Source organism: Homo sapiens, chromosome 2, assembly GCF_000001405.40.
Source record: "Homo sapiens chromosome 2, GRCh38.p14 Primary Assembly".
In the NCBI taxonomy this organism is placed as follows: domain Eukaryota; kingdom Metazoa; phylum Chordata; class Mammalia; order Primates; family Hominidae; genus Homo; species Homo sapiens.
The window spans coordinates 54751140-54767964 of NC_000002.12; the positions used below are offsets into that span (position 1 = coordinate 54751140).

Sequence of the window (16825 nt, forward strand, 5' to 3'; positions counted from 1 at the left end):
ATCTTTTTAGGTTGAGAATCAGATCCATGTTTTATGGTGACAAAGACAATTTACTTGGGCAAAGGGCAGAATCATCTGGGCATGTTAAATAGCAAATATGAAACCTGCATATTGGATTACTGGTGTGGAGGACAGGGATCACTTCCTTAGTGTAGTTCCTGAGAAACACACGGGGATGTAAAGGAGCTTGGGCATGAGCTTATCTTGGAGGACTCTAATGGGAGTATAGATAAAATGGAAGCTTCTGAACAGAAGATTCCCTTTGAATACTGAGCAGAAGGTTCACAAGGAACTTTAGTTATTTTATGCAAAGCACAAGGGAACAGAGAGGATTAAATTAGAGCTTCTGCTTCCAGAAAAAGAAAAAAAAATAGGATAAGTTTAAAGGAAGAGAAGCTTACAAAAGGAAGGACAAATGCTCCGCAGCACACAGTAATACCCCGTCCCCTCAACCTTCCATCCCCCATATCCTTATCAAACTTTAGACAGATTTTTAAAAATCACTGAAGTTATTTTGTGGGCCTATATTTAAAATTTATTTTTCAGTTTAGACAGAACATGTTATTCCATGTTGGCACACAGTAGCCTAAAAGTTGTCTTGGTTGACCGTGCAAGGTTTGTTATGCTGAATATATAGTGCCATTTATTGTTAACTTCTGGCTAATAAATGTCTTCAATTTGCTTTCTGAAAACTGAGGCAGTTAGAGGGTATCAAAAAGAGGATGAAACTTTTATCATCCAGTTTCAAGAAATAAGGGTGATAGGCCTTTGGGTTTCATAATGATAACTGGAATCCTTTAAGGGTTTGCATTTTGTGTATTTAACTATTTTGAAGGTAAACTTCAGCAGCCTCTATTTGTAACTTAGGCTTCCAAAACTTTCTTCCTTCTTTCCCACCTTAAGGATGAGTGCACTTTAGGGCATCATTTTCAGCATGTCTAGCGTGCCAGTGTTTTTCATTACACTGTGTTTAAATTACATGCTCTACTTAGGTTTGTTGGGAACCTCACAGAATCTCAGTTCTGCTGTTTTTTAAAAGTTACTTTTTTTCCACCATTATAATACCTATATTTACTCATTAAACAAAATTTTAAAAATAAGACAAGAAAGGAAAAAATTATTCATAGTTGAACCCCAAATATCTGTTCACATTTTTGTGAACTTCTTAATTGAAATATAACACATATATAAAAAAGTATAAAAATTATGTGTTTATGATGAAATTTAGCAAGGTTAATATACCCATATAACTACTACCCAGATCAAGAAATAGAACATTAATGCAGCCTGGAACCTCTCACCTACCACTTCCCAGTCATTATGCCCTCTTGAAGATAACCACTATTCTGACTCCTCTTATGTAGATATGTTTTGCCTGATATTGAACTTTATAAAAATTGAATAATAAAATATGTTCTCTTTTGTGTGGGGCTGAATTATTCAACATTTGTCAATGAAATTCATGCATGTTGTAGTAGATAGCATTCGTTCATTCTTTTTCATTGCTGTATAGTATTCTACTGTGTGAATATAATTTATTCTGTACTTGCTCTTAGCCAAAAGGCCAAGAAGTGATAAATATAATTTATTGTGTTCACTATTGGACATTTGGGTTGTTTTCACTTTGAGTCTACTATAAATAATGCTTCTTTTTAAACCTTTTTTTTGAGACAGAGTCTTACTTTGTCACCCAGGCTGGAGTGCAGTGGCACGATCACGGCTTACTGCAACCTCTGCCTCCCAGGTTCAAGCGATTCTCCTGCCTCAGCCTCCCAAGTAGCTGGTGCCACAGGCATCCGCCACCACACCCAGCTAATTTTTGGATTTTTAGTAGAGGCGGGGTTTCACCATGTTGGCCAGGCTGGTCTCGAACTCCGTGAGTCACGGTGCCCGGCTACATTCTTATACATGTCTTTTGACACCTGGATCATAGGGCATGCACATGTTTAGCCTTAATAGGTATATTACCAAATGGTTTTACCAATTTATATACCACTAATGTATGAGAGTTCTAGTTTCTCCACATTCTTGCCAAGACTTGGTATTGAATGTCTTTTTCAGTTTTAATTATCCTGGTGTGGAGTACCACATTGTGTTTTTAATTTTATTTTCTCTGATCATCAATAACATTGAGCACTAGTGTAGTCACAATGATGTTCCTCTAAAGATATATCGATGTCCTGATCCCTGGAGCCTGTGAATATGTGACATTACATGGCAAAAGGGACTTTATCAATGTAATTAAGTTAAGGATCTTAAAATGAGGAGCTTATCCTGGATTATCCCAGTGGGCTCAATGTAATCATAAAGGTCCTTATAAGTGAGAGTGACAGGGAGTCAGAGAAGGAGATGCCATGATGGAAGTAGTGATGCTATGAGGAAGGCTCGACTGACCATTGCTGGCTTTGAAGATGAAAGGGACCTGCTAGCCAAGAAATGTGGGCAGCCTCTAGAAGGTAGAAAAAGCAGAGGAACAGAGTCTCCCAGTCTCCCTAGGGCCCCCAGTAAGAATGCAGTCCTGAGTTTTTTTTTTTTTTTTTTTGAGAGACTGGGTCTGATTCTGTGGCTCAAACTGGAGTGCAGTGGTACAGTCATAGCTCACTGCAGCCTCGAACTCCAGGCCTCAAGCTCAAGTGATTCTCTGGCCTCAGCCTCCCGAGTAGTTGGGACTACAGGTGCACATCACCATGTCTGGCTAATTAAAAAAATTTTTTTGGCTGGGCGCGATGGCTCACACCTGTAATCCCAGCACTTTGGGAGACCAAGGCGGGTGGATCACGAGGTCAGGAGTTCGAGACCAGCCTGACCAACATGGTGACTCCCTGTCTCTACTAAAAATAGAAAAATTAGCCGGGTGTGGCAGCCTGCACCTGTAGTCCCAGTTACTCGGGAGGCTGAGGCAGGAGAATTGCTTGAACCCAGGAGGCGGAGGTTGCAGTGAGTCGAGATCACACCACTGCATTCCAGTCTGGGAGACAGAGCGAGACTCCGTCTCAAAAAAAAAAATTTTTTTTTTTTTTAGAGACAGAATCTTGCTACGTTACCCAAGCTGGCCTCAAACTCCTGGCCTCAAGCAATCCTCCTGCCTCAGCCTCTTGAGTTAGCTGCGATTACAGGTGGGAGCCACTGCACCTGTCTTGAAAATCTGACCACTAGTCAGCCTTGAAAATCTTGATTTTCGTTCATTGAGACACATTTTGGACACCTGACTTTCAGAACTGTAAGTTAGTACATTTGTGTTGTTTGAAGCCACTAAGTTCATGGTAATTTCCTATTATGGCAGCAATAGGAAACTAGTACAAGCACCTTTTCATGTGCTTAGTGACCATTTTGATACCCTCTTTTGTGAAGTGCCTCTTCAGGTCTTTTTGACCATTTGAAATAACTGGGTTGCCTGTCTTTTTCTTATTGATATATATGAGTTATTTATATATACTGGATATGAGTACTTTGTCAATTCTATATTTCAAATATCTTCTCCCATTCTGTGGCTTGCATTTGTATTCTTTGATGATCAGACATTCTTTATTTAGTGAAGTCCAATTTATCAATCTTTATCAATCTTTTACTTTATGATTAGTGCTGTCTGGGTCCTGTTAATGAAATATTTCCCCAATTCAGGGTTATGTAAAGATTTTCCTATGTAATCTTCTCAAAACGGCACTGTCCAGTAGAACTTTCTGAAGTGCAGAAATGTTCTATGTTTGTACTGTCCAGTGGTAGCCCACTAGTCACATTTGGCTACTGGCCACTTAAAATGTGGTTAGTGAAAGCTAAATTTTAAATTTTATTAGATTTTAATTAATTCAAAATTAAATGTAGTTAGTCACATGTAGCTAGTGGTTACCACAATGGATACCACAGTTCCAGAAACTTTATTGATTTACCTTTAAAATTTAGGTCTGTGATCCAATGGAAATGATTTTATGAGATGGTCATGATTAGCAATTTGTTTTTTAAATACAGATATACAGTTAACCCAGATCTATTATTGAAAAGATCATTTTTTAACCCATTGAACTAGTGGCAACCTTGTCATAAATCAGGCAGCCCTAATAAGTCTGTTTCTGGATTCCATTCTGATCCATTAGTCTTCATCCTTGCACTGACGCCACGCTGTTTTAATTACTGCAGTTTGAACTCTGAGAATATAACCTCTCTGACTTTGTGGTACTTCTTCAGAGTTGTCTTGAGTATTCTGCGTCCTTTGTATTTCTGTATCAGTTTTAGAATTGATCTGTCAATTTCCATTAAAAACCTGCTGATATTTTGATTGAGATTATATTGATTGTATAAATCACTTTGGAGAGAATTGACATCTTTATAATATTGAGTCTTCCAATCCATGAAAATGATATATCCCTCTACTTTGTTCTCTTAGTAATGGTTTATAATTTTCTGGAGGAAGTCTTATCCATCTTTTGATGTTCATCTCTACGTATTTGATGGGTTTTGATGCTATTGCAGATGGTATACTTTCAATGTTCATTTTCTAATTATTTTTGCTAGTATATAGAAATATAATTTTTTAGTTTTTTCGAGACAGGGTTTGGCTCTGTTACTCAGACTGGAGTGCAGTGGTGTGATCTCAGCTCACTGCACCCTCCACCTCCCAGGCTCAAGCGATCCTCCCACCTCAGCCTCTGAGTAGCTGGGACTACAGGTGCAGGCAACCACGCCTGGCTAATTTTTCTATTTTTAGTAGAGACGGAGTTTCATCATGTTGCCCAGGGTGGTTCTGCTTAGGTTTTTAACCTCTTAACCGCTGTTTTCTGCTTGGCTAAGAAAGCTCTTCCTTCTTGTATGTACTGGTTAGGAATCGGCAAATACCTTAAGGGGAAATTGTATGCAGAGGGTTGGACTTTCCTCTCTGCCATACCATTTTTAATTTGGATCTTGGCCCTCTTCCTTAAGTTTAGGCTGCCTTGGAAGCCCTGAATTCTAAGTTTTGTTTCTCTCATTCAGTGAGAATGCCGTGAGCGATAGGTGGCAGTTTCTGCTTACCCTCTGGGCTCTGCACTGCAAATTGGTAAATGCCCCAAGGAGGCAGAGTGGGTGAAATTTAGGGCTTACTTTAATGTTCAGGGCATTGCTCTTCTGTCAGGATCCCTGCCCCTAAAATTCCTCCTGCTTTGGTTTGTTCATCAGTGTCTTCAATCGACTGTGCTCTTTAATTTTATCTAGCTTTTATAGAAGTTCTCAATGGAAAGGTTGGTAGAATAAAATTCACTTTGTCCAACACAGAGTGGATGTCTAAATGTTAACATTTTAATGGATATTCATTCTGTTTCCTTTAATGTGCTTATGTTTTTATGTCTGTGAGCATGCTGTTTATACAAGTTTGGGTTTTGGTCCTGATTTTATATTGTCATACACAGCAGTTTCTTGAACCATTTCTCTTGTATTTGGGCAGTAGGGTGTTTCTTTTATTTTCCTTTTTAAAAAAATCTTTTTTTAAGTTTATATTTTCCTTTTTATAAATGATGTTCTCAGGAGCATTTTTTTCTACAAAAAGCCTTTTTTTTGATTTGGGGTTATTTTCTTAAAAGGTAGGATTTCTAATTTATTTTTGTTGTGGTTTTCTCTGATACTCTGGGTCATTATTCCTGGCATACTGAAATTTAACAATAATGTGGCTTTGTTTGGGTCTTCCATCCATTGATCTTGCCTTTTTTGGGCCTTTCAACCTACAAACTCCTGAGTCTCAGTTCTGGAATGTTTTCTTGCCTTCCTTTCCATTCTCTTTGCTCTTTCTTCTTCAAAGCTTTTTGGTAGTTTTGAGACCTCCTGGATCTGTAATTGTAATCCTATTTTCCTTATTATTATTGTTTTCTATTTTCTGGTAGATTTTTCTATTTTGTCATTCAAATCGGTTGAATTTTTATTTTTATATTTTATATTTTAAAATGCTTTTTAAAAATTTACTGAATTTTTCTTTTTTATACCTTCTTGTTTCAATATATTGCCATATTTTTTCTTTTTTCTGAGTATATTAATTATGTCCCTCCCTTATGTCTCCTTCCTTTTCTCTGTCACCTCAGCATTCCCTTTTTCTCCTGTATATTTGTATTGGTCTTTAACTTTTAGGTTCAAGGCTTTCATCAGATGTTGGGCAGGCTTTGGCTCTCTTTGTATTTAAGAGCAAGACCCCTGAAAGCAAATTGGGAGCTCTATATGAGGGGCAGTGTTGATGAGTGGTTTCACCATAGGGTGTTAAGGTGGTGCACCGCCTTTGCAATGGAGGATGCTGTAATACAATGTCAGGATGGAGGGGCATTTTCTCTTGTGTTGGTCAGTTTCCCCAGAAAGGAACCTCCAATCTCTTGCCTGGGGGTGACCGTGGGGTATGCAGTATACCTGGTGGCAAGTGTTCCAGGAGTAAAATGGAGAGAGGTTTTATGGTTCACAAGGCCGCCGACTCACTTAACTTCCTGTATGAGCTTTCCTCAGCTGGGCAGCCCCAGAGAGTAAATCTCCAGAGTTCTGCTGGGTGAGAGGAGGATTCTGGTGGACTCACTGTTCTTTACACAAGCTCTCAACTAGTCCTCCTACTTTCACCCCCTCCCTCCACTCCAGCCTTCAGGATATGTATCTGCAAGGCCCTGAGCCTTTCCAGGTTTCCGGCTGTGAGCTGGCTGCTTCTTTCTGACTTCCCCCTTCTTCCTCCCACCCTCGCCCTGGTAGGCTTAGATTTCTTAGGGTTCTAAAATCAGTCACCACTTACTCATTTGCTTTCCAGCTCCTTTTTTTTTTTTTTTCTTCAAGGTTTCTTTTGCATACTTTATCCTTTCTTCTTGTTCTCTTTGTCTTTGTGGGCCTGTGTCTTTTAAAATAACTCCCTATCTTTTCAATTTGGCAAGAAGCATAGATAAATGCTTTAAAACTGAAAGTCTTGCATTGGATTTTGAATGCCAGTCACCGTAATTTTCATTTCTATGAGTTTTATTTGACTTTCACTTTTCTTCTGTTCTCGTATGCATTATTCTTACCATGTGATATCTACACCTTCATCTTTTTATTGATTTTAAATAGATTTAAAATCTTTCCAGCTGTTCTATTGTTTTCAAGTCCTGAAGGGAGAGGGGAGTGGGTGGAAAGAAGGGATGCTAATTGTCTTGCTTGCTGTGTCTCCTGAGTCTTCCTTACAGTGACTTGTTTTCTTTGTCCAGTGTAATACTATTTCTGGTGGGAGTCCTGTATGTCCTGGTTGTGGAGACATCCCTACAGAGTAGGTTTTGCCTTGCTTCTGATGGCCCAGAATGTGCTCTTATAGTTTCTCTTATTTCTGGACCTCTATACGTGTGGTTTCAGAAATGTTCTATTTTCTCATCTTTGCTTCACTGTCTCTTACTAATCTCTCAGATCTCTGTTTAGAAGTGATTTTCTCTGGGACGGTTTTCCCAGTCCCCCATTCCCTGTATTGTCCCCTAGTATATTATACTTCCTCCAACGTAGTACTTATTACCCTGTAGTATATCATCCATTTGTTTGTCTCTCTCTTCCTTGTGACTGATTCTGGAAGACAGGATCATGTTATCTTGTTCACTGTTAAATATCTAGTGCCTACCAAAGTACCTGGCCCAAACCAGGTGTCAGTAAATATTTTATAAAAGAATATGATGCTATATCTTGTTTTAAGAGGCTTTGCAGGGATGGGTTACAGATTGGTCTGAGAGCATTGTTTTTTTAATCCCAGTTTTGCTACATTCCAGGTGACACTCCTTCATAGAGCAATGTAGGGTAATGCAGGGGTGCTCTGCAAACATAAAATATGGGTGGTTCATAAGTTGCCTTTTTGAGCTATAGATTTTCTTCCTGTTTTCATCACTTCCACATATAGTACATAATGGATCACACACTTGAAAACAAAAAATAGGGATGGAGTGCTTGGCACTCAGCACACGACCCAGTATTCTTGTGTGGCTCCCTCTTAGACCCAGTGAAGCAGCCTCCATTAGGTGGATGTTTTCAATTCCATTTTCCATTTGTGAAATGTGTGATTATGAAACAGCTGTGTAACAGTCTGTTGTGTCTAGCATGTCTTCTTTTCAGGTAGTAGGAAATGACAAGTTCATACTAGATGAATAATAATATGCATATCTGATAATTAGGCCCACAGTTTACAGTGGCTTTGACTGGTATTTCATGTAGCTATCTTCAAAACTTGAGTTTAGGAATACTGTCCAAAGAATTTTTTTTATAGCTAATTGAATGAGTAACCTTGGTTTTCTGGAGTATTTTATGGTAATACTAGAAAGAATAGTGGTGGTAACTATTATAAGATCATGGGGGAAGTGCTAAAATGAGTCACTTATTTTGGAAATAGCAATAATATTATTTGCTAATATTTATTGAATGCTGACTAAACGCATAGTAACTTTATTCATTTAAGGAGCTTTTAAAGGTTTTATAGAGTTTTTAAAAGTCATAAATTCAGACATAAATTAGCAATGGATGCCAAATCTGGGGGAGAGAGAAAAACTTTAAAAACTCTAAAAACTTTACATGTACCAACTCATTTAAATCTAAAGAAAAGTTGGATTTATACCAACACATCTTCATCACCAAGCTAGCATGTGAATGCTCAGGAGAGAGCATGCAGAATCTGCTCAAAATGGAGACATTTTAACTATATCCCAATGTTAGGCTGTGCTAAGGTGATCCAAGAGTGAAGTTCGAGGTTGGACAAAATTAGATGTAATTAATAGTTGAGGAAACTTCCTTCCCTCCATATATATATATATAAAATCTTTGTTTACATATAATATATATTTATATATATTTTAATGATTAAGTGTAGGTGAGAAATAAGATAACTTGCTCTAGATATCAGCAGGATCATTATACACAGCAGGATCAAGACTCCGGCTCCGATTCTGGGCCATTACTCTGATGCATTAAGAATGTTAGTAATTTAAATAGCCTAACTTCCAGTTTTTCTCAGTTTCCACTATTTTGTAGTCAAATTGATCTTGGTCTTAGATTTATTTAGTGTTTGACTCGATCCATATTTTTAATCATTGAAAATTAATTTTTAACTACTTAAGTAATACATGAATAAGTTTTCTTTTTTTTTTTTTAATTTTAGAACATTCCAAATGAAGCTTTCATTTCCTGTCCTGGTCTCCCTCCATGCTCCCCAGATATTCACTACTGCTATGAGTTTGGTATATATTTTTCAGATCTTTATATTCACGTACTACCCAAGAACATAACAGAGTATTGCTTTATGCATGTGCTTGATTTCTTTACATAAATTCCCCTATTGACAGACTTCTAGGTTCTTTTGCTTTTCAAACAGTGTTTCAGTGAATCCTTGCACACATGGGAGAGTGGCCCTCTAGGGAGATATCTAGAGGTGGACTTGGTTAGTCACAGGTATGCCCATTTTCAGTTTCAATATAGCCTAGAATTGCAGTACCTAGAGGCAGCAGGCTTGCAGAGTACCTGTTTCCCTACCATCTGGCCGGTATATGACACTATCAAATTCAATTTGTTTTGCCAAATGTAATTTTATCTGGGTTTTCTTTCTTATATGAAGAAGTAAGTTTCTATCTTTCCCTTATACAAACAAACCTTGACAGAGAATCACTGCTTTTGTCCTGGAATTCGGAAGATTTCAAAGATGGGAGGTGTACATGAGATCCATTCTCTCTCCCCATTGCTTTGAAGTTGAGGGAGCATTTTTTTTTTTTTTTTTTTTTTTACTAGAAAAAGAATCTGGGACAGACTGAAAGATGGAAGTTACTCTGTGTCTGGGAAATACAAACCTCCTGAATCTAGAAGCATGAGGCTTAGTATGATGAATGGTGACCAATAATGTTTTTATTAATCTGGGAAGTACTGAGTTTGGTAATCAGTATCTTTGAGGTTTATGCTAGTGAAGTTAATCCCAAGGCATTTGAGAAACTAGATTTCAGCTTCTCTGCTTTATGGTTTTAATTCCACTTTATTCTTAGTGGTAGTGCAGCCAAATGATAATAACTCTCATCATTGTTGAGAAATTGTTTTCCATATGGTTATTTCATCTGAGAATATGATTTTAAACAGACTACCAAAGTCATAGTACTCCCAGTTTGTGGAACGGACTTGTTTAATGTTATAAACTTGAATTTTGCAGTTTTGTGAACCAAAAAATATGATAATAAACAATACGCTTTGTTTCTTTTTTATTAATGCTTAACTGAAAAAAAAGCATAAATGAAGGTGCTTATTTTTATTAATTGGGGAAATACCAGGGATTAAACAAAGCTTAGTCCTTCAGTGTTTATAATTTCTGGTAAGAAAGTTGAATAAGGTATTTCCCCTTTTCAGAGCAGCTTACTAGTTTTATCTGAGGTATATAATATGTGAATGTAATTAAATTATCAAATTTGGTTGATCATTTAAAAAATCACAAAGGCATAAAAGTGGACATTTATGAATCACATTGCAATTTGGTCAAAAGTGATTCTTTCACTAACATAAATCATAAACTCTGTGGATATAGCTTGACTTTAATTTGTCTGAATTATGATATGGAAATGTTTAAAATGGTCAAAAATAGTTGAGGTACCTATGCTTTAAGTTTAAAATATAAGTCTATTTAAACTTATTTTGGAATCATTTCAAACTTGTAGAAAAATAGCAAGAATAGTCCACAGATTTCATCCATTTTTAGTATTTTGACACATTTTCTTTGTTATTCTTTCTCTTTATAGATACGCATTAGTATTGCTTTTTTTTTTGGAATCACTTGAAAGTAGGTTGAATGCATCATTCCCTTTTACCCTTAATACTAAAACATGTAATTTTAAGAATAAGGATAGTCACTTGTATAACCACAGTATGGTTATTAAATTCAGGAAATTTAATGTTGACACAATACTGTTATCTGCTCTATATTCTTCTTTAGTCAGTAATGCCAATAATTGCCTTTAGGGCAATTTTTTTCTGGTATAAGATCCAGCTCAGATAATGTATTGCATTTCATTTTCATGTCTCCTTAGTCTCTTTTAATCTGGAAAAGTGCCTAAGCCTCTCTTTATCTTTTAGGACATTGACATTTTAGAAGAACACAGGCCAGTTCTTTTACTGAATGTCCCTCAAGTTGGGTTTATCTGATGTTTCCTCATGATCAGCTTTAGGGTATGCATGTTTGGCTGGAGTACCTCAGAAGTGATAGTGTGTCCTCCTCAGAACATCACGGATGGGAATGCATGATGTCTATCCACTCATTATTGGTGATGTTCAATCTGATCATGGTAAAATCGATCATTAAATGTTATCCATTTTCTCTATCATATAGTTACTATTTTTTTCTTTTCTAATTATAGAGTAATTTGAGTGGAAGTGCTTTTTAAGACTCCACATAAATATCTTACTCCCCAAGCGTCTCCCACCTCCAGATTTAGTATCCGTTGCTAATTTATGTCTGAATTTGTGACTTTTAAAAACTCCATTGTTCCTTCCATATTTATTAGTTGACATTCTGCTATAATAAAGTGCTTCCTGCCCTTATTTATTTTGATGCTCAGATTATCCCCAGGGCCAATAGGAACTCCATTTATCTATTTCCTTTGTCCTTCTGACATGCTTTATAAATTTGTGTAGCATCTTATTGCTGTTTGGCATCATAGCTGTTCCAGGTCCATTTTGTACTTTCCCTTCCCTAGCACTGGAATCAATTTCTCCAAGAAATTCTGGTTCTTTTAGTGGGACTGGTATTTAAGAACTGTGATCTGTGATCATTGCTGTGCCAGAATGTCATTGTTCTTGACCTTTTCAGCAGATGGAGCTGGGGAATATATATACCTACACACTCATATATATAGCTAAAAAGATAGAGATACATTTAAACATCTTAAGTTTATACTGGTAACCCCCCAATTCCAACACAGCTTCCCACCCTACATTCTTCCTTGGTTTCTCCCATTTATTATTTATGTCTCTTTTCTTCCATAGTGAGAAGTCTGGCTCACAAAACATAATACATTTATTCATTTGATCCATCCTGCAATGTGCATAAAATAGTTTCAGGATTGTATACCCATCGAGTATGAAAAACAAACTGCTAAGAAGAGTTCAAGATTTATTTGCAGTTCTTTTATATTTCTTTACACTGAGCATGAATAGTCAAAGTTCTATGTTCAGAAGTTACTTGGATTAGTTCTGTATTTTAAAAATTCAGCATGGTTATGTTATTCATTTTAAATAAAGTTGGGTTCACTGGAATACAGTTAGGTTTACATTCAGTTTTAGGCTTCTCCCTCTATTCTTGTTGATCTAATTGAATTTTTGAATGTTTATAGAACTTTAACATGATTCCAAAACTCCAGACTATACAAAATAAGATATACTCAGAGAAGTATTCCAAGCTTCTTTCATTTTATTATCTTTTAAGTTAGCAATCTGCTTTTAAAGAATATTGAGAATTTAAAATCAAACACAGTGTTTGGCTAGGTGCATTTGTGTGGTTTTTGGATGGGTAGGTGGGTAGAGATATTACTGTCTGTTCTCCAAGTCATAGAAAATATGGAGAATGAAAATCGTCTTTCTCCTTCTACCAGGAGCCTAAAAGGGTGAATGTATTCAAAGTGGTTAAGGTAAAAATTGGGTATGACATTAATTTCATCGGAAAACAGCTTCAGCAGGCCTGGCAGGGTAGGGTGAGGGTTTGGAAAGGCTCTGGTGCTTTCAGGGCGTGACACTAGGGGGCACCTTGGCTCTGATGCTGCCTTCAGGCTCCCTTCTCTGCCAGAGCGAGGCTGGGAAGTGAGGTTCAAGATCTCCAGCCCTGAAGGCCTCTCCAAACTCCGTTGGTTGTTCTGTGCCATCTTGTAGGGTTTTGACCCAGGGGTGGACAGAAGTTGAAGGACAGGGACATTCTCAGGCCTCTGGCCTTTTCCCTCGTTGACCTTCTTAACTTCCTGCCCTCTAGTCAGCATTTTATTTTGTTTAGGTTGGCAAAAGTGGCTGAGTTAAGTAACCTGTCCAAGGTCATCATTCAACCTCCAAGCAGTCCAGTTATTTTCAATATGCCATTTTAGAAAGGTTATAGACAGCGGCCATTTATGCTGTGTGCCTGTCTGCCTGTAAAATAAGATTAAGTCCATATAATTTCCTAATACAAAACAAACTGGCACAAAGTAGACATAGTGGGAATATTATTAGTTACACGTTATGAAGTTGGAAAATTCAAATGAGAGCCATTTAAAGTAAATATAGAATTAGCGAGATTAGACCAAGAGGAAAAAAGTTGAGCTGATAATTAACTCAACATCTGATCCCCCCAAAGCAATCACAAATAAATTCATTATCCCTATTGCTCGTGAAACCTGGGGGCACTCCACTTGTATAAGGAATTTGAGGTGCATTAACTTTAAATTGCACTTGTCTGCTTCTTGTTGCTTGTGTAGGCATGTTTGCATTGCTTACATTAATGCTTAGTAATTCAGTGGCTAATGTGAAATCCCCCTGCTTTAACTTTGGGGAAGATAAAATTAAATTGTGCCTTCATCAATAAATACAAGAATAGGTTAAAGGCTGAACTTGTTTTTAAGAACATCACCTATCTCATCAGGAGTGACTGGTTAAATACTGTTCTGCCTAGGGCAGAATCAAACGCAGTTTGGGGAAATGGGGCAGCAAAAGGCCATGGTGGCCTTTTCAGCTTTCTTTCTATTTGGTATATGCATGGTAGGAGATGCCAGATTCCTATTTAACCTCTTCTATTTACAAAACTGCTTATGCCAAAATTTATTCATGAGTGCTTCCATTAAAGCTTGTAGTGAATTTTTTCCACCTGGGATTGTTGGCATTTGATTAGTGGGAGATGGTTAAATCACACATATGAATAGTTAGCTAATATTTTTGCTTTCAGTGTTTGTTTCCATTTTTAAAATTTTTCCTCTCTTTTGCCTACATTAGAATTTTTTTTTCTTTATTTCCCACTTTCTCGTAATAATATATTTTCTGGATATCTTCCTTTGAGTGGAAAACTACCTGAATTTTAAATTTAAGTGATCGTAGAAGTTTTAGAAGCAGTAAATATTTATTATATTCAGCCTCTAACTTATTGTGTATAATTTAACACACATAAGCAGATCTCTAGAAATTACTTACAAGGGTATTTTTAAGAAGAGAAATGCTGATCTTATATTTTTAGTATGGATTGACATAATTTTAAATCTTCTTAAACAATGGCTAAAACTTGTTATGAATTATCTATATCTATAATTTTAGCATTTAATTATATATCTCCTCTTTTGAACTGTTCTCTGGTTGTTTACCCTCTTTTCCCTACAAACTTAAGGGCAAACAAATTTTATGCATTCTTTTATTTTTATTTTTATTTTTTGGAGATGGAGTCTCGCTTAGTCGCCCAGGTTGGAGTGCAGTGGCACGATCTCGGCTCACTGCAAGCTCCGCCTGCCGGGTTCACGCCATTCTCCTGCCTCAGCCTCCCTAGTAGGTGGGACTACAGGCACCCGCCCTATGTCCGGCTAAGTTTTCTGTATTTTTAGTAGAGATGGGGTTTCACTGTGTTAGCCAGGATGGTCTCGATCTCCTGACCTCGTGATCCACCAGTCTCGGCCTCCCAAAGTGCTGGGATTACAGGCGTCATGCATTCTTTTTAGTTTAGTCCCTATGGTACCATCTATACCATTATAAAATAGGTACTTAATAAATAGTCAATAAATACTTTAACCATTTCTTATCTACATACAATCTACTTTCTTTTTTATTTTACTTTTTATTTTGAAGCAATTTTAGACTTAGAAAAGTTCCAAGATGTGTAAGAAGAATACCAATATACCTTTCACCCAGATTCCTCAAATGTTAAGTATTTTGCCACATTTGCTTTAATATTCTCTCTCTTATTCTCTCTCCCTTCTTTCCACCTCCTCCTCTCACACTTTCCTTCCTCTCTCTATTCTTTTCCTTCATCTATCCACATGTATATGTATGTAGATACATATTTTTTTCTTGAGCCACTTGAGAGTAAGTTGCAGACCAGACACCTTGTGTAGTTACTAAAAACAAGGACTTCTTTTGTGTAACCACAGTATAGCTTTCAAAATCAATAAAATAATATTTAAACAATAGCTGATGTATAGATCTGATTAATATTTTGGCAATTGTCCCAATAATGTCCTTCAGAGCAAAAGAAAATCCCAGATCACGTGTTAAACATATCAAGTCTGTTTTGTCTTCTTTGATCTAGAACATTTCCTTAGTCTTTCTTTGTCTTTCATAACCTTGATACTTCTGAAGAATACAAGGCAGTTATTTTATAGAATGACCGTCAGTTTGGGTTTGTCCAGTGTTTTCTTACAATTTTGTTTATATAATTTTGGCAGAAGTATCACAGAAATGATGTATTCTTCTTAGTACATAATATCAGGAGGCACATGATATTAATTTGTCCTATTACTGGTAATGTTAACTTTGGTCACTTGGTTTAGGGGATCTGCCAGATTTCTCTATGGCAAAGTTACTATTTTTTTTTCCTTTGTAATTAACATATATCTTGTGGAAATACAGTTTGAGTCTGTGTAAATATCTGTTTCTAATCAAACTTTCACACAGGAGTTTTAGCATCAACTGATGATTCATGGCATAGTAAATTATTATTATGATTGCCAAATTAGATTCTGTTATTTTGAATATATATGTCCTTTGTTTATATGTTTACATATATGTCCTTTGTTTAGCTTCAGAATTATCTCCTAATTGTCTTCGTCATTATATGCCTTATTCTATTGTACAGTAAATAACATTTATTTATTTCTCACAAATAAGTAACTTCATACTGAATACTTTTCATGATGGATCATCTGCTATCCTTTGTTTGCAATAGCAGCTAAAAGTAGCACCAAGTATATTAAATATCACTAGCAGAATAGTTTGCTTTCACATAATTTTAGGAAAAAAATAATATCTAGAAATATAGTATTTTGTGTCAAAATTACCCTCCTTGAATGAGGCAGTCAAAGTAGGTTTTTATAGAGCATCTGTTTGCTGTCACTGTTTCTTTGAAGCATCTTGAATACTATTTTGACACTGTTACAGCAAAGTATTAACTGATGCAACATAAACACAATTTAACTCAGTATTAACAGGACAGTTTGACAAGCCCTATTCAATGAAGAAGAACCTACAGCCAGGGAAAAAATGCCTAGATTCTAATGCATCAACATAGATATTGTTTTGCCTTTTTATTATATGATGATAAAGTAGAATCTACTAGATAAAAATAAATAACATGTAAATAGATATTTATATCAAGACTGGATAGTATACTTTTATTTTAAGAAACACCCATGCAATACTTTTAGTCTCCAGTCTAAAAAGATATTTCACCTCAAATATCTATTTTATTTTATTTCTACTATGTCTATTGCAATTTAGTTCTGTGTATCACATATTTACTGAGTAGCCTGCCTGGACCTATACAGTAATTAAGTGGTATGAAGAGTGTGTGTGTGTGTGTGTGTGTGTGTGTGTGTGTATGTGTGTGTGTGTATGTTGCAAAAATATTGGAAGAAGTACTTTCTTTATTTTTTATTTTTTGTAGAGACGGGGTCTCATTATATTGCCCAGGCTGGTGTCGAACTCCTGGCTTCAAGCAGTCCTCTTGCTGCATGCTCCACCATGCCTGGCTAATTTTTGTATTTTTTTGTAGAGATTAAGTTTTTGCCATGTTGCCCAGACTGGTCTCAAACTGCTGAGCTCAAGCGATCTGCCTGCCTCTGCCTCCCAAAGTGCTGGGGTTACAGGCGTGAGTCAACATGCCAGCCAGAAGAAGTACTTTTAATTTAATTTTGAATTTCACCTGCAAACA

The 16825-nt window shown here is 36.5% G+C and overlaps 1 protein-coding gene across 9 annotated transcripts in view, besides 1 other annotated feature; it reads left to right on the forward strand.

Annotated features, from left to right (window-relative positions):
- The window catches only part of EML6 (EMAP like 6), a 248474-nt gene that overhangs the window by 27588 nt on the left and 204061 nt on the right, over positions 1-16825 (forward strand). The gene's annotated exons all lie outside the window — the stretch shown is intronic.
- Positions 4573-4642: an enhancer, noted in NCBI's record as "active region_15770". NCBI's record gives its function as "activates an Ori minimal core promoter by ATAC-STARR-seq in GM12878 lymphoblastoid cells {active_cell/tissue: GM12878}" and the evidence as "EXISTENCE:reporter gene assay evidence [ECO:0000049][PMID:35858748]".